This window comes from Homo sapiens, chromosome 2 (genome assembly GCF_000001405.40).
Source record: "Homo sapiens chromosome 2, GRCh38.p14 Primary Assembly".
In the NCBI taxonomy this organism is placed as follows: domain Eukaryota; kingdom Metazoa; phylum Chordata; class Mammalia; order Primates; family Hominidae; genus Homo; species Homo sapiens.
In genome coordinates, this window is record NC_000002.12 from 233,914,323 (window position 1) to 233,932,775 (window position 18,453).

The window sequence follows — 18,453 nt, forward strand, 5'->3', positions numbered from 1 at the left end:
GACGTGGAGCCTGCAGAAGTAAAGGGTAAGTTGTTAATTCTCCTGGAAAAGGTGAGATCTTGTGTCTCTTACCAGGAGAGGCCAAGAGACAGGGTTATGGGTAGCACCCACTGCACCCTTTGCACAATGGGAGGAAGGATGTATGACTTGATGTGCCTCCCAGTTGTGTGTTCATCAGCTGCAATCTGCTCTTCTCAGGAGTTAGTGTCAGGGAGTGTCTGTGCCTCCTGTACAAGGCTTATTGTAAAAGACACCTGATGTCCTTGAGTGACCAGAGTTCTAACTTGGGAGTATGTGCCCACCTCCATCAGTTGCTACCAGTGTGTCAAATTCTCTTCTACACTTGGCTAGGGCTAAGATTTAGTGAGAGGAGCAGAATGAGCCCTGCCGGTCCTCCTTTTTCTAGTAGTAGGAAGCAGCCTCTTCTTTGCAGTGTGAGCCAGTGGCCCCTGGACCCTCAACTAGTACCTGAGGCTTCTCTCCTCATCAAGGCCTCAGGGGGAGGCCTGAGCTCCTGCCAAGAAGGTAAGATCAGGACCCAACCAGAACTCCAGCTTCCTGCATACAGTCAAGAGAGGGAGGCAGGCTCATGGGTGGCTGCGGTGCAGCCTCCACAGGACTCTTCATGGGGGAAGACTCTTCATGGAATGCCTGGGGTGGGAGGCCTTCCACACTGACCAGAGAGCCTTGTCCCTTCCACCAGCTCCAGTACAGCAAACTCAGCCAGAGAGTGCAGTGCAGAGTCAGTGGCATCAATGCATTCACATTGCTCTGTAACCATCATCATCATCCACCTACAGTTTGTTCAGTTTTAATGTTTTCTCATGGCACAAAAAATAGGGAAGCCAAGCTGAGAGTCTGAGTCTGCATATCTAGCTGGAAGTATGCAGAATGGCTCTGCTTATCTTAGTGGGGGAGGAAGGTGTTCAGGGACAAGCAGGGACAGTGCTGTTAATTCACCTTTGAAACCTGCTTTGAGGAGTAAGTGGCTGAAAAACGTCTGTGTGTGACTGAGGTTGCTCAGGGCAGCCACCTTCTGGCATTAAAAGATAGTTCAACAATCCAGCATCTTAAAAAAAAAACCAAAACAATTTCTATCTATCTTGCTAGATGAATTGGGCATTTTGTTGCGTCTTGGATGAAATGGTAAATATTTACATTATATATGTACACCTCTACTTATATCTCTCTATCTCCATCTCTCTCGCTCCCATTTCATGAGGATGCTTACTTACAGCAAGGATCCATTCACGTATGATTTTAAGGACTTGCTAAAGATATTTGAATACAACTTGTTCAGGCCAGATCATACATTATCTGCTGTGGATAAAACAAGTTTGGATTTACAATGAAAATTGAGATAGAACAAAAGACTTGCTTAATAACCAGAAAATGAATGAGAGAAGTCCACATGAGCTTAATTAATTGGCTCAATATTTCTCTCTCTCTCTCTCTCTCTCTCTCTCTCTCTCTCTCTCTTTTCTTGAGACAGAATCTCACTCTGTCACCCAGGTTGGAGTGCAGTGGCATGATCTCGGCTCACTGCAACCTCCACCTCCCAGGTTCAAGGGATTCTCATGTCTCAGCCTCCTGAGTAGCTGGGATTACAGGCACGTGCCACCACACCTGGCTAATTTTTGTATTTTTAGTAGAGACAGGGTTTTGCCATGTTGCCCAGGCTGGTCTTGAACCCCTGACATCAAGCAATCGGCCCGCCTCAGCCTCCCAAAGTGCTGGGATTACAGGCATGAGCCACTGCACCCAGCTGGCTCAATATTTCTAACAGCTAAAAAGCTCATTTTGCTGCTCCGCTCCTCAGATGGACTTGCTCCCCTGTGCAGTGCTATATATGTGCTTGGGGACCATGCTGGGTATGGGAGTTTTTAGTCCTAGGACCCATATTTAGAGTAATTCTGAGATTTCTCTGATTCTCTCTCTCTATTTCTAGCTGGATCTCTTCTCTCACGGGTCCTCATTCAAATCTATCATTTCCAGTTTTCCACAGCCCCCACCCTTCCCTACTTACTACCTAACACTTGGCTGCTCCCTTCATCTTTATGACCTGTCTGAGCCTTGGAATATTTGAGTTTGAGACCTCTGTCTGGAGTCTTTTGTCTCTCTTTGTTAAGGGGGTTTTCTTCTTGAATTGAACATGCTTTCTGCAGGAGTTATCACTACAACCCTATCCTTCCTTTCAGACCTTGCTCAAATCTCTCTGCCTTTGCAAAAAACCCCTTCACACTCCTTCTCTTTCATCTCTAACCTTTTTGCAAGTGTATGTCTTGTGCAATCAGTTCCTGAAATACACTATCCTATTTGTATTTCTCTATGACATATGCTTCATATGAAAATAAAATAGAAATAATGGCCAAAACAGAGGAACATTAGTTATAATATAACTGTTATGTTTGTGGCACGTGATTTAAGTAAAATGACCGAAAGTTGCCCACTGACAATTGTTACTTATTTCTTCGAGGAGAGCTCTTCCAAAGTGTAGTTTAAAGGGGACAGGAAATAGCTGTAAATTAATGAAGCTGGATTTGCTCACCTCCATGATGCCCTCTTGCCTGGCCCAATACTGCATTTAGTTGGTATGAGGAAAGTTCACAAAATCTGCAAAAAAGCAATGTTGGTTAAATTTCCTCTATTTAATAATTTTTTTCCTAATCTTAATTAAGAGCTTTTAATTTATTAATTAATCTTGTCATCACTTTCTATAATGAGCATTTCCCATTTTATTTGTGGTTTTTAAAATGTGCCATTAATTGCAGAAATTAAGTATTAGTATGATTTCATACTATGGTGTTATTGTCAAGCTAAGAGCAGGAATTTGGTATCATTTCTTTATTAGCATTTAAAATACCATGTTCACTAATTATCCATTCCCTACTCGTATTCCACTGCTAAATTGCTGCTATGCTTGGAGGCTTTAGGAGTCTTCTTGCAATTTCAGCGGCTTAAGTTTTTTGTTCCTCTGCTTAAAAGAACCTCAGAGAAGAAGGCGGGGCTAAGAAGATTCCAGTTATAAAAGCTTTCCTCCTCCTGTGGGGAGAGACCAGCAGGATCCTTGGGTGAAAGAAAATCCTGCTTGACAAAAACCGTCACTTAGGGTATGTCATCAACTTTTGCTTTTTGCTTCTCCTTAAATGTTGCCATTGCTGTAACTTGTAGAATAGTACGAGTTTGTGTCTCTGGGAGGGGCATCATTTAGTTTTTCTATGAAGATTTGAAACTAAAGGAAGACAAAAATTTAAATTCCTCAAAGTGTTGTGGGCATAAGCAAATGCGGGTTCACAGATATATCTAATCCTCACTTAGATTTATTTAGAAATGTAGAATTATTTGCTGAATTTTTGAATGACTTTAAATATAATTACAGTTTTCTGTTTCTGATTGAAGGAGTTAGAAACTCCCTAAATGAGCTTTAATGAAAAATTCACTGGCATCTGAACTCTGCAACTGACTATCTGAAGCAATCCTATTGGGAACATAATAAAACAAGTTTTTTCTTGAATCAAGACTATGGTGAAATGTAAATTAACATCAAGAAATAATGCATTCAAATAGTAAATATTCTTTGATAATGAAAGGAGCGGGTATATTTAGCTTGTTTTTACATACTGTGTTTCCTTCCGTTCTTCCAGCCTGTTGAAACAGGCTCATCATTTGTATTATTTATAAGCAAGAGAGAAACACTGAAGGGCTGGATGAATAATTAAAGGTTTTATTTCCATTTAATTTTCAATCCATTATTGCCAGTGCTGACTTTTTCAGTGTTAGGATTCTTGAGCTGAACATAAGGAAATGGTTATTCCTTAAGACTATTCTATATGTGCTAATACAAAGATACTGATCATGAGAGAAGTTTTAGCTTGTCAAAATCTTGACAGTGCAAAGGACTTACTTCCAAGGTTGTGACTTTGGATGCATATTTATTTATAATTTGGAAAAAAGCTGTTTATTATTATTTATTAATAAGATATTTATAATTATATTACAAATAATATAATTGTTATAGAAATAATATAATTACATTATAAATTATAATTACATTACAATTTATAATAATAATTATCACTATCTTTGTTTTGCCTAAGAACTGATATCATTCTTGGCACCTGTGAAGACAGTAGGGGTCCAGGCTGCATAGGGACCCCTGCTTTTCCTCTTATTCTAAGAGGGTCTCAGCAAATAGCATCTTGGAGCATCACCTGCTGCCTGTATCTACCTCCTGTTTCTCACTTCTACTTTTTGGAGCAGGATACCTTGGGGTCAATGACTTCGGGAGCCTCCACTGGCTTTTGCTATTTTCCTAGTTTTCATCCATCTATTCAAACTGAAAAAAATTTGGCTGATAGAGGCAATTAGAAAAACAGGATAATGCCTACAACAAAATAAATCTCAGCTCTCTCCTGGTGGTGACTGAGACATGGAGGCACAGATGCCTAGTGACCTTTTCAGGTATTGTAACCCTTGTATGCACCCCTGCCATGCCCCTGCCAAAATAAGAGTGGAGGAGATCTCTCTGGATGGTGTCATTTATATTTGAAGCTTCTGCAAGTGTTATACTCACCATTTTCATGAATAATTGATGGCTCAAAGAGTGGAGATGGCTGGGGTTTGGTGTGGGGCCCTTTGGAGCATTTTCCTTAGAGTATGAACAAGTTTTTCCTCTCTCATTCAGTGTGCAAAGGAAAACATCTTGTTTCTCCCCCCACCCCATTTTTTTTTTAATCAGAAAGAGACTTAGAACTAGACAATCCTGATTGAAAATGACACTTTAGGACTGATTTGACCATGGTGATAGGTGAGCTAAAAAGCAACTTATAAAACATGCCAGAAGCCTTTTTTTATTAGGATAATAAGAGCACACTAATATTTTTTTTGTATTGAGTTCAAAGGATGCATGAATATTCTGTTGTTCATGAGTGACTTCTAGACTATTTAAAATTATTCATGACCATTGATAATAAAAATAGTACCACGGCCAACCTCTCCCCTCAGCAAACAACATGAGGTTTGTAACCCTTTGTTTAAATTTTGGCAGTGTACTAATGTTGTTAAGATGACAATCTATTTCTTCTCAAAGCTGTATTAAAGTGGCACAAATTAGCTTAATGTTTAAGATTGGGTCTCAGGCCAGCCTGCTTGATTTTGAATTCTGCATCCTCTACTTATTAGCTGTGTGACTTTGGGAAAGTTACCTAACCTCTCTGTGCCTTGGTTTGTCATCCATCTAAAGGAGAAAATAATAATCCATATAACTCATGGGGAGATGGATCCATGTAAATACTCTTTAACGTATCCATGTAAAGAGTATTTACATGGATCCATCTTGCCATGTGTTATATGGATTATTATTTTATTACAAGTACAGTGCCTGGCACATAATAGACATGACACAATACATAACAGTTATTTATTACTGACATTTGGATGGTGTTCCTGGTCTGATGGAGATGTATGTTTCATGTGCAAGCAGGACAAATTGTAATGTTCAGACATTCAAGTTGTGACTACACAAGAACACAAAGCCAAAATTAACATGATATTGCCGCTTGAACATCCAATCAGTTACCTGCATGTGTTTTGAAAAGATTTGATTATATGCTCTGGAAACATTTTATTGCACTTTAAGGACAAGGGGGTCCTTGGTGTGATCTGTGGGCCAGTGGTCCTCTGAAGGTGGTCCTGAGGCCACCTCATTAGCACCTGGGAACTTGCTAGAGATGCAGAATCTGGGGCTCACTGCAGATGTCTCATGCTCTTGAGGTGGGGCCCAGCACTCTGAGTTTTAATAAGTCCAGTGAGTCAGCCTGCAGGATGACGTATAGTTTCCTGTGTGAGAAACTGTAGGAACTGTTGGTCCTTAGTTTGTAACTGCCATCTCTCCTGATAGGTATGGTAGGTCTATCGTGAAGTTTTGAAAAAAATGTGAACGGTATTTCAAGAGTCCATCTTGATTTTAATTTTTACTGAGGTTATCTCTATGGTGGTCATTAAGATTCCATTAAATTCATCAGGCCCATTTGAAATTTTTGAGAGTAAAGACCATGAATAGAAATAATTGAGATTATTGATTAAAAACATGAAAGCAAAGATTGACATAGTTAAACAAGTAAATCCTAGAACTGGACAAATCCTTAGCTATCTCTCTGTGAAGGTCCCTTCCTTTGGGCCTGCCATGGAGATAATTCCATTGAATTTTACTTTCATGGCATAGCTTCAACTTGCATTCAGGACATTCTAAGAAATAGCCAGGCTAAGTTTAGTGCTGTAAGTCTTGCATGGCTGTGCAGGGATATTTACCACTATGTGGCCCAGTGTGCTTTTGGCATAGGCATTTTTCTTTTAACTTATTATTTTGAGATAATTATAGCTTCACAGGAAGTGGAAGAGGAAAAAGCATAGAGAGGGTCTGTGTACTCTTCACCCAGTTCCCCTCAATGGTGACACCTCATGTAACTATCATACAAGATTAATACCAGAGAATTGGCATTGGCACAATGCAAAGGCTTTATCAGATTTCACCATTTTTTTTTTTTTTTTTTGAGATGGAGTTTAGTTCTTGTTGCCCAGGCTGGAGTGCAATGGTGTGATCTTGGCTCACCGCAACCTCCGCCTCCTGGATTCAAGTGATTCTCCTGCCTCAACCTCCTGAGCAGCTGGGATTACAGGTGCCCTTCACCATGCCTGGCTAATTTTTTGGTATTTTTTTAATAGAGATGGGGTTTCACCATGTTGGCCAGGCTGGTCTCGAACTCCTGACCTCAGGCGATCCACCCGCCTTGGCCTCCCAAAGTGCTCGGATTACAGGCATGAACTACCACGCCCGGCCCCAGATTTCACCACTTGGACATGCATTCATTCATGTGTGTATAGTTTAATGCAATTTTATCACGTCAGTAGATTCGTATAACTACTGCCACAACCGAATTTTGGAACTGTTCCATCACTAGAAAAGCCCCTTCACTCTGCCCCTTTACAATCACCCCATCCTCCTCATCCTACCTGTCCCCAAATGTAGGAGTTCTTTTCACCCTGGCCTCTGTATCAGGGAATGTGGGTTTGAAGTTAGTTTATGGATGCCTTGAAGCTTGTAATTGACTATGTTCATCCTGTCAACCTAAAATAATCAAAAGGCTCAGGATCCAATTAAAAGAGTTTATTCAAGTGCAAAGATGAGGGCCGCCATCCAGACAGCAGAATGACAGCAAAGGATGGTGATCACTGCACCTGGGATGGGGAAAAGGGAGAATCATTTATACAGGCAAAGCCAGAGGTGCCGAACAGAAACACATTTTCTTTTTTCTTTTCTTTTTTTTCTTTTTCTTTTTTCTTTTTCTTTTCTTTTCTTTTTTTTTTTTTTTTTGAGATGGAGTCTTACTCTGTCACCCAGGCTGGAGTGCAGGGGCGTGATCTCGGATCACTGCAACCTCCCAGGTTCAAGGGATTCTGGTGACTCAGCCTCCCAAGTACCTGGGATTACAGGTGCCCGCCACCACACCCAGCTAATATTTTTGTATTTTTAGTAGAGATGGGATTTCGCCATGTTGGCCAGGCTGGTCTCAAACTCCTGACCTCAAGTGATCCCCCTGCCTTGGCCTCCCAAAGTGCTGGGATTACAGGCGTGAGCCACCATGCCCGGCCAGAAACACATTTTCTGTATGAAGGCTACTGTACAAATGTAAGATTTGATTGACTACTACTGTTTATACTCTAAGGGGGTTGCTTAACAGTCTATTGTAAAGAGGTTACAGTCGCAAGGGTCTCTGTCTCCAACATCAATTAAGTCTAGGTTAGAATGAAGGATAGGGAGTCCGGTTAAGGTAGAACATCTCCATCTGGTTTTGCACAACCCTTGCAAAAGTCAGTCAGCAAGGGTTGTGCAAAAATAGCTGTGCTATGTGACTCTGTTTTCAGAGCTTCACTTTTCCCCTTGGCATAATCAACCTGGAAGGTCCTAAAATTTTATTTTCTTTTTACAATCCCTTTGCTTTGGCCATTGGTAAGTTTAGGGCATGATTTCTAGTGCCCCCTGAGGACCTTGGAACAGGCTTCCCCTGTGGCTGGATAAGCTCCTCACTTAACCAGTCTCTTTCTCTTATTTTATCCTCAGCTCATTTATTTCTCTTTGGTTCCTTTGCTTTACATAATATTTTAGTAAGTTTCTTCAACTCTTTCTGCATTGAGATAAAATATAAACATTTAAACTGAAAAAAAACCTCTACCACGTCATCTCTACTTATTATTTATATCTGACATTTTCCCTCCAGCCTCCCTGTCTCCCTTTCCAGAGCTGCCTAAAGTTATGTGAGTGTTTGCCTTCCTTGTTCCCCATTCCTGAGTGTGTCTTTCTACTGCCCTCACAGCTGAATTGACTCAGGATACAATTCCTAGATCACAATCTTTTCCCTCTTAAAAAAATGTAAACACTGTTCCATTTTCTTCTAGTTTATAGTGTTGAAGAAGAGAAGTTTTATACCAGCCTGGTTTTTCTCCTTTAGTAATTTTTTTCTGCTATATTGCTTGTATGTTTTTATGTTTATTCTTTTTTCTTTTTTGAAACAGAGTCTCGCTCTGTCACCCAGGCTGCAGTGCAGTGGCACGATCTCGGCTCACTTCAAGCTCCGCCTCCCAGGTTCACGCATTCTCCTGCCTCAGCCTCCTGAGTAGCTGGGACTACAGGCACCCGCCACCACGCCTGGCTAATTTTTTTTGTTGTTGTTGTTAGAGATGGGTTTCACTGTGTTAACCAGGATGGTCTCGATCTCCTGGCCTCGTGATCCGCCTGCCTCAGCCTCCCAAAGTGCTGAGATTACAGGTGTGAGCCACCGTGCCCGGCCATTTTTATGTTTATTCTTATACTTAAATGATTTCATCTGGATACCTCTGGCCCTATTAATTTTGCTTGGCAGCAGACCCAGTGAGGTTTTTATTGTGAAGACTCAAATCTTTCTTTATCTTGGGGAAGATTTATTCTGTTGATTTTCTGATGACTGTCTCTTGTAAGTAGAACATTCTTTTCTTTGGAAAGGCCTGTTACTGACATGACAAATCTCCAGTGTTCTCCATGGCTCCTCTAGCAATGGCCACAGCTAGGTGTGGTGCAGCTGTACCAAGGTTTTCCCTCCTTGGTGGGGTGGGCTAAAGTGGAGGGACACAGCCCCATGTCCCCTGCTGCCGTGCTCTGCCTGCCCAATGCTGCCGGCACCAGGTTACCACGCAGGGCTCCATGGGCCGGCATCCACTGCACATCTCGAGCACATCCTCTGGTTTGACATGGGGTCACACGGTGCTGCCAGTCTTTGCCACACTTGATTAGGGTGCCAGCTTCATTAGAAGTAAGGACGACTGTCAATTAAGCATTTCACTCATGGGTCTTGAGACTTCTAGTCTCAGCTTCTGTCGTGCCTGGGGAAGCACCTCACTCTCTCTTCTGCCTGGGGAGGCTGTAACTAGAAAACAATAAAACAACAACAACAACAACAAACTGTCCAGAGCTGGAAAAAAACAAAAACAGCCAAAATTGAGTTTGCATGTAAAGAGGCTTACAATCAATGTGAAAATTTCGGACCAATATCTGGTTAGAATCAGTAAACCATCAGGACTTCAGAATAAGGGGAACATGCTGGGCAGAAAGAAGAGCAGGGAGGCTGCAGTCAGGATTTTCTTTACCAGATCAAAACTCTAATAAAAACAACTACTTTTACAGTGTTGGGGGGAAAGTGTTGAATGCAATAAGAAGACATCCCCATGGATGATAAGCTTCTCACAAGTTCCTCCTAGGCTTTGGTGTGCTCAGATCATCCCCAGGGACCTTCTCCTGACACTGACAGATAAGTCCAAGGTGGGCAAGTCAGGAGCGGAAGGACTCATGCTGGGCATGGACATCCCAGCCCTTTGCCCATTGTTTCCAGGGAATTTTGGATCGCTGGATCTGGCGGTGTGATTTTGTTACTTCTCCCTGGCGCATGACGCACCAAGGGATCGGCTTTCTCCCCCTGCCTTTCCCGTTCTATCTCTTTCAGGGGCATCTCCTTTTCCACAGACCCCTCCTCTCACTCTCCAGGGACCCAGCTGCTCTCTTCCCATATCGCTTCTCTTGGACCTCAGGCCTTAAGTTCCTTCTTCCAATGCTTCTTTTACTTCTGAGCCTGAAGTCCTGCAACAATGTGTCTAGAAGATCAACAAACCTGCAGTACTGGGATAGCTGCTATCTAAGACTGTATGCCAAGACCCAGTCAACCAACTTGAATATCAACTGGTCTCAGAGAACCAGTTGAGACTACCAGCTGCTGAGAAAGGCATTCGGAATGTCAGAGGAGGGCTATTTGCTGCATCTCTTAAATGGCTTCCCAATGTTTTCTTTGATAGAAATGTGATTTGAAGGCAAAAATACCCCTTTTCTGTTGCAGCGAAATAAACAGTTTTTCATTTCAAGGCAAATGAAGTCACTTCCTAAGCCTTGGTGCCCTACTTAGAAGCAGTTTGCTGTAAGGGAATCATAGTGAATACCTTGCAGGATTGATCTGTGGTTTTGCAATGATGTATGTAAAGTGCCAATTAATACTCTCAGCTTCTCTTTGAAATGCCTGGGGAGAGAAGTAAAAGAAGCGCTTGTTGTTTTAAACAGTCTAGACCAACCATTTGGAGTGCATTTTAAAGCAGTGCCAGTCTCTGAGGTGTGGGAGGCCTGTGGCTGGCCTGGGAGGGGCGATCTGGATGGAGGAGTCATGGCCCCCTGGGCTGAGGGTCTGAGAGCAGAGTGTGGCTGAGTGGTGGGTCTGCTCTGTGTCTTAGACATTTCTGCATTCGGGAGTTATAACAGGTGACGTGGAAATAGTTAGCAAACCGAAGGAGGATTTGCAAGGGAGTATTGATTCAATCAAACTATTCATCCAATAAATAAATATGCAGATCTCCTTTATGCACTGTGCCAGGCCCTGGAAGTCTAGTGGTGAACAAGATACAGTCCTTGGCCTCAGCAAGTTAACAGGGGTCAAACAGATCATTAAACAAATCATGATGCCCACAGCTTGGTGCAGGTTGAAGGGGCTACACAGGCAGGTGAGCACTTGCTCAGCCTGGGCATTGTGGGGCATCTCCCTGAAGAAATGATGAGTGAGCTGAGCCTGGAGGATGAGCAGGAGATGACAGCTGGAGGGGTATGGGGAAGAGGGCTCTGGACAGAAGGTGGGACCCCAGCTAGGAAAGCCAGGTCCAGAGAGAGAGGGAGGTGGGCACAGTCAGGCCGGGGAGGTGGAGACCAGCAGGGCCGAGCGCAGAGACAACGCGAGAGCCTTGGAAGGGGTGAGGAGGAAGGACTGCTGCTGGGATGTGGTGGGACAGACAGGGAGGAGCTTGGAGCCAGGAGGAGGGGACTCAGGGAGACACGGTATGCAGGAAGGACAGTGCTTTCATTTACTGTGTCAGCAGGACAACCCCAGAGGTTGAGTAGGCATTGACGGGTTTTGTCTCGAGCTTCGGATGTGGGTCTGAGTTAGACTTTGGGAGACGAGGGGAGAGGGGCCTCCTGAAGTATGGGATGGGGGCATATTAGAGTGAGAAAAACAGAGCAGGGACCCCGGGAAGCATTGCATGACAGATAAGGTTTTGCAATGCCCAGGCTAGCAGCCTGCTCCAGAGCCCTAGAGGGAAGTCTTGGGCGTTAGAGTCTCAGGATGACCTGGGACAGACTGACCCCCAAGCCCTACCCACCACCCTTCAGGGGCAGGGGTCTTCTTTTCTGCCTGAGGTGCAAGTCCTCTGGCCAATGCAGGCTGCTAGCCATAGTCTGCTCTGTAAATTCCCTTCATCCTCAATTCATTACTTAGCAAGTAGCTACTGCAAGCCCCTCAGATGGAGTGCACTGTGATGCATGTGCTACAGACTGCCCTTTCAGAGCTTGCAGTCTGGTGGGGCCATGCACTTGGCCACTGCAAAGAGGGGGTGCCCAGGAGGGGATCCTGACTCAGGGGTGAGGGGCCAGGGAGGATGGGCTGAGGGGTGGAAATGCCATCTGGGTCTTGGAGGGTAAAGAGGAATTAGGGGCAGAGGCACAATGACCATGGTGGGCCGAATGGAGCATGGGACATTGCACGTGGCAAAGGGGAGAGGGTGGAGGGAAAACGGCATTGGGGTGAAGCTTTGAAGGAAGCCCTGTTACTGTTTGTAACCCAAACTTATCCCCTCCAACCATCGTCACAGAAAAGATGTCCTTTCGGGCAGCCAGGCTCAGCATGAGGAACAGAAGGAATGACACTCTGGACAGCACCCGGACCCTGTACTCCAGCGCGTCTCGGAGCACAGACTTGTCTTACAGTGAAAGCGTAAGTCATGCGCATCACCTGTTTGAAAGGTTATCATTGTAACCTTCGTAAGCCGTCAAATCCTGCATTTGCACATTGACTTTTAGAACATTTTAAATGCCATGTCTTTAAAATTCCTTTCACTACTTAATGCTCAGTGCTCTTGTTTCCGGTCTGAGCCTTGAATCACAGTCCCTTCTCCAGCTCTATGGCCAGGGTCTCAGTTTGGGTCCATCTGCATTTGTTCTTGTAATGGCCTCCTAGCTGCACTCCTTCACACTGTCTCTCCTGGTTCCAGGCCAGCTTCTACGCTGCCTTCAGGACACAGACGTGCCCAATCATGGCTTCTTGGGTGAGCTGGAGTCGGGGTTGGGTGCCAGCGGGAGGTGTGTCCTTAGCACCTCTCTACCTCTTCCTGCCTGGCTTTGCTGACACTGGGCTGAGTTCCCTCCTGCAGGTTTTCCACCCACTCTCAGATCCTGTCCAACACTCTCATATCCTGTCCAACACTCTCATTTGTCAAGAAATTAAGACAACATTCCAGCCTGACATCCAGTTCTCATGGACTACAGTGTTAAAAGTCGGGATAGCGGCTAGCTTTGGAAAGTAGGAATTGGTGGTGGGAGGCAGTTCTGGGGTGTTGCTTAGGATTTTGATCTCACTGGTGGGTTCCATGGGGGCTGACTTTGTGATCTATCATTGAGCTGTAAGAACACGCACACACAAACAAATACGCAAAAACCTGCTCTCCCCCAGTTTGGGTCTACCTCCCAGGGCCCGGGCTAGGCAAGTGAGGCACCCCTGATGCAAAAGTTAAGGAGGTGCCAGCCCTCAGGGGCTGCCCCTGCACTTGCATGCCTTGGGGGACTGAGCACCTCCTTGCACTTGCTCCCCAGTCACACCTCAGTCCTGGCCACAGGAGAAGCAAACAGTGGGCCAAGGGTGGTGGTAGCTTTTCCAGCGTTTACCCCCTTGCTCTCTTCCTTCAACCCCAGTGACGAAGCACCTCTGGGAGGGCCCTTCTGGAGGGGTCCACCTGGCCTCAGCATCAGAGCCCTGGAAGACAGAGTCTGTCTCTTTCTTTCTTTCTTTCTTTCTTTCTTTCTTTCTTTCTTTCTTTCTTTCTTTCTTTCTTTCTTTCTTTCTTTCTTTCTTTCTTTTCTTTCCTTCCTTCCTTCCTTCCTTCCTTCCTTCCTTCCTTCCTTCCTTCCTTCCTTCCTTTCTTTCTCTTTCTTTCTTTCTTTCTTTCTTTCTTTCTTTCTTTCTTTCTTTCTTTCTCTCTCTCTCTCTTTCTCTCTCTCTCTCTCTCTCTCTCTCTCTCTCTCTCTTTCTTTCTTTCTTTCTTTTTTTTTTTGAGACGGAGTCTCGCTGTATCGCCCAGGCTGGAGTGCAGTGGCGAGATCTCGGCTCACTGCAAACTCCACCTCCCAGGTTCATGCCATTCTCCTGCCTCAGCCTCCTAAGTAGCTGGGACTACAGGCTCCCGCCACTATGCCTGGCTAATTTTTTGTATTTTTAGTAGAGACGGGGTTTCACTGTGTTAGCCAGGATGGTCTCGATCTCCTGACCTCGTGAGCCGCCCACCTCGGCCTCCCAAAGTGCTGGGATCACAGGCGTGACCCACTGCGCCTGGCCGAGGCTGACTCTTTCTTGAGCCTGCCACTGTGACCTCCTGCTGGATGGGTCTCCTCTCCTCAGCCCCTGCGGGTGACCCCCTCCCAGATGCAGGCATCCCTATGGGTAGAACTGCTGAGACCATGCAAGAGCATCTCAGTTCTGGGGGGTTCCTTTTTGCCCCCTAAGCACATGCACACCTCTGCAAAGTGCATTTTCAGAGGGTTTTTTAAGCAACAAAGCAGTTTTAAAAAATCATCACCCTTCTTCCTTGATCATTGATTACACAGATTACACAGCTGTTTTCTTCCTGCCTGTTAAGTAGACTTGAAATTAGTTAAGTGGATGAAAAAATTACAAGTAAAAATGGGCATCACAGACTTTCAAAACTGTACAGGTGAGCACTGAAGCTATTTTTGCTTTCAAAATGTTTGTGTTGAAAGATACAAAGAAAAGAATGTATACAGGTGAATTTCCAGCTTAAAAAGAATATTGAAAAGAATGCTCTTGTGCCCACCACCAGCTTGAGAAATAGCATATCGCCCCCATGTGGCCGCCCCGTTGGCTTTCCTCTTTCCTGTCAGAGGTTATAACCACTATCCTGAATTTTTTGTTACCCATTCCTTGCTTTTATTTATAATTTTATGACTTGAGTATATGTATCTCTCTAAACAATACATTGTTTAGTTTTGTTCTGTTTTGAACATTCATGGAATTGTACTATGAGTATTTTTTTGTGAGTTTCTTTTCTTTTTTTTTTTATTTTTTTGCTCAAAACTGTTTTTGAGATTCATCCACGGTGAGACGTGTAACCATTGTTGATTTATTTCATGGCTATGCTGTGTCCTACTGTGTGCTTATGTTTGTTCAGCCTAAGGGGGATGGTATGTGGATTTCTGGTCTTTGCTATGAACAACAATACCACTTGTAACATTCTTAGATGTGGAAGTCATGACTAACTGGAAAATATTATTTGAGTTGAGGCTTGGTGGGTGAAGGTAAACATCCCTCTTTCATGGGGTCTGGGTTTAAGACATACGACCTATGGGGAAACTTATGTTCAAAGGATTGGGAAGATAAGGCACGTGGTCACCCTTCTCTGATACCACAGGACTTGCAGGGGCAGAAGGTGAGAAGGGAAGGGGGCACATTGTGAACTTCATTCCAGGAGAAGGGACATCCCCCTTTGCAGTGCATGGCTGGTGGTAGCCTTGCTGCAGGGCATAAGAAGTCAGGGCTGGCTCTGGTGCCAGTGGCCTGTCTTATGAGGCCAACTGTGTGTAAAGTTGTCTGAGAACTCCAGCTGCCAGTATCTGGTGACCTGTGGGAAGTGGCACTGGATTGCTGGGGAGAGGAAGTTCCTAGCAGCCCCACCTCCCCAGGGAAAGGCAGCCCTCTGAGGCTGAATATTTATCGCCAGGCAGCTTTGCCAGGCATTCTGGGTGTGCAAGTCATTCATGGGGCAATTCTGCCTTTCTCCACCAGAGACTCTTCCTCAGGGAGGTAACTTTACTGGCAATAGTGGACAATATTCAGGAACGGTTGTATCTGTTTACTGCTCTCCCCTTCGACTATGCTGGGTGTTTATTGCCTTTGATATTTTTACTAACCTGGTGGGTGTGAAATGGGATCTCACTGTGGTTTTCCTTTGCATTTGCTCATTCTGAATGAGGTTGAGCTTCCTTTCATATGTTTATGGGTTATTCTCTTTCAATGAATGCTTACTCTTGTCTTTGGCCATTTTTTTCCCATCGGATTGTCTGTCTCATTCTTACTGATGTACAGTGCTTATATATTCTGGCTATCAATCTTATGATGTTTCATACATGATGCAAATACCTTCTTCCACTTTGAGGAGTGTAGGTATTTTTAAAGGAGTTTTTCCTTTGTTTCCAAATAGTTTGCTTCTGCTAACTTAAGGGAAGCTTTTGGTTTATAAAGGCTTTTGGTTTTTTGTCAGAATTAGGTCCCAGATGTGCCTAACTACCTCTCCCATGGAGGGATAAATACATTTATGAACGGTTTTTGGAATATGTCTTCTTTTAAACAGCAAGGATAAGAGGAATGGGAATCTGCATTGATATATTATTTATGAAAAACTATCATCCAATGCCTATATTCTCCCTGGTAGCCTTAGAGGTGGAAAAACATAATTTGTATGTATATAATACTGTTTATAAATAAGATAAGTCCAAATCACTTCTAGAAAAATTTTCCATTTAGTTATAAAAATTTTAAAGTTTGCATCTTTAAAAAAAATTTTGTATACTCTAAAGGCATGAACAAATGCTGGATGCTATGAATATGTGGTAAATTCTTAAAGCCTTTGAAGTGGGGTTACATCATATTTAGTATTCATCAATATCAGCAAGGGGTGAGAATAAATTAGTAATGTGTTATTCAATGTTCTCTCTCCAAAGGACTTGGTGAATTTTATTCAAGCAAATTTTAAGAAACGAGAATGTGTCTTCTTTACCAAAGATTCCAAGGCCACGTAAGCTACTATTTTCCCTCCAGTTTTGCTTTCCAAGTTCAAAAAAATTATCAGCCACCCTTACAACAAACAAATGCTCCCTAGTTCATTATTAAAGATGTCTTCGTCTTATAATTCTCAGAAACACTGTTTGCGCAGGAAGGATCTGGCAAGGAGCTTATAGTTGTTACTCAGAGCTATACAATTTTGTTTGGTATTTTCAGCTTTGGCCATAGTTGGAAAAGTCGTTGAGGGAGGCTGTCACTCTCTTCAGTATTCCCATGAGATTGGGAACCCACCTGAGTGACCTTGGTAATGAAAGTTGTTTTACAGCTGTTGGCTGGCAATACCATGCATGTGTACATATGTCCATCTTACTGGCTCCTCCGTCAGGCTTTTCTTCCCTGCTGTTGACTTTAGGTCTTTCCTTCTAATTGAGTGTTCATCTGCTCTAAGTCTCATGTGTTTTGGAACATTAAGGCTGGGTTACAAAAGCAGGCTTCACCAGCTCAGCCTACAGGAGTTCTTCAATAACTGTTGATGAGCAAGTGAGTGAGTGAATGGGTCGACTAGTGCTCACCCTTTGTGTAGAAGATGCATTTGAATCTAATTAAACAATTTTCGTCCTACCTCCCACTCTCCTTATTCCTCTCTGCCCCTTCCTTTCTGTTGGCTGGCAATGCAAGAAAGAGTCTAGCTATTAATTGCAAGTTGCTGCTGTAGTTTATAATGAAAAGACTCTCTGTTGAACAGGGTCAATGAACAGAGGAAGGATATAGAAATAAGGAAAAAAGCTTTAGAACCAGCTTTGGTTTCAACCTTGACTTGGCTGACTCCTCACTGTGTGGCCTTGAGCCAATTATTCTCTTTTCTAAAGCTAATTCTCTTATCCTAAAAATCTAGCAAAAGTATACCTCATGGGTTGTGGTATTCAAGACGCAGCATATAAAATACCTACCATAATGCTTCAGAGCATAATTCTTACTTCATGTGAATTAGAAAATGAACACCAGAAAAACTAAGAGATCTCTGCCTTGTCACTGGTAAAAACATACGCATCATGAGTCATTCTGACAAAGTGTAAGCTTTGTAAGACCACTATTTATCCCCTGTATGTTTCATGAATGGGACTTACATACTGGATTGCTAATATTATCAACCTCCTTGCAAGGAAGCTGTTGCTACCTTTAAGGCAAGTGAGGCCCAGAGAAGTTCAGTATTTTACCCATGGTCACATGTGCAGTGGAAGATGGATGAGAGACTTGAGCCCGGGCTTTCTGATTCCAAGGCTGTGCCTTCTCTATACCGTCAGTTGCCTCCCTTTCTAAGAATGGCGTTGCTTTGGGCAGAACAAATTCCTCAACACGTTCTCAGTTACATATGTTCAATCTAACTGGCATAAGTGGAAGCTGGAGCAGGGATTCTGTGGGGTGTGATAATGGGATCTTGTGGCTGAAAAGCACAGCCAGATCCAGGGCTTCAACAACGTCGCCGAGACTCTGTCTCTTTCCACCTGTTGTTCCTGCCCTTCTCTGATGGATGGGCTCTTCACTATTGGAGGCAAAATGGTCATTGTTGGTTGTGCGTTATCAGCTTTCCATTTGCCAGTTAGAGCAAAGAGGGCCTTGCTCCTAGCAATTCCATCAAAAGTCCTGGGCTGATGTTTATGGCTCTTAATGGTCTTGCTTGGAGCATGTGCCTATCTCTAAACTAATCCCTGGGGCTGGAGGATGGAAGTTGAGGGACAGTGGAATATGTTGATTGGCAAGGCTTGGGAGATGTGTCCAGGTGAACTCAATGCAGAAAGGCATGATTCCTCAAGGAAAATCAGGGCGCACTTACTAGTGGAAGGGGAAGTAGATGCAGGTTAGGGAAACCTGTGGCTGTTCACCTTACAGTGCTTGATTACAGCTCAAGTCTGGGTCAAAATGAAGGGAGATGTGGTGGGCAGCCGCAGCCCTCAGCAACACAAGCGGAGCACAGGAACACCTCAGGGTCTTCCAGTTCCCATCTCAGAAGGTATGCAAGGATGCAGGATTCTATAATCTTTGAATC

General features: G+C 43.8%; 1 protein-coding gene across 13 annotated transcripts in view; it reads left to right on the plus strand.

Annotated features, from left to right (window-relative positions):
- The first annotated feature begins 3,050 nt into the window (after nucleotides 1-3,050).
- TRPM8 (transient receptor potential cation channel subfamily M member 8) overlaps nucleotides 3,051-18,453 on the plus strand; it is a 102,150-nt gene continuing 86,747 nt past the window's right edge. For 7 of the 13 annotated variants that reach the window (NM_001397611.1, NM_001397607.1, NM_001397609.1 and 4 more), the window contains exons 1-2: nucleotides 15,361-15,428; nucleotides 16,346-16,419. Coding sequence is in view for 5 of the 13 variants with exons in the window: in NM_024080.5 (NP_076985.4) it covers nucleotides 12,216-12,332; nucleotides 16,346-16,419 (191 nt within the window). In the remaining 8 variants the exon portion in view is untranslated. Of the gene's footprint in view, nucleotides 3,111-12,210; nucleotides 12,333-15,360; nucleotides 15,429-16,345; nucleotides 18,418-18,453 lie in introns of those variants that run through there. The other 6 variants (NM_024080.5, XM_011511810.3, NM_001397608.1 and 3 more) reach the window with 2 other exon arrangements.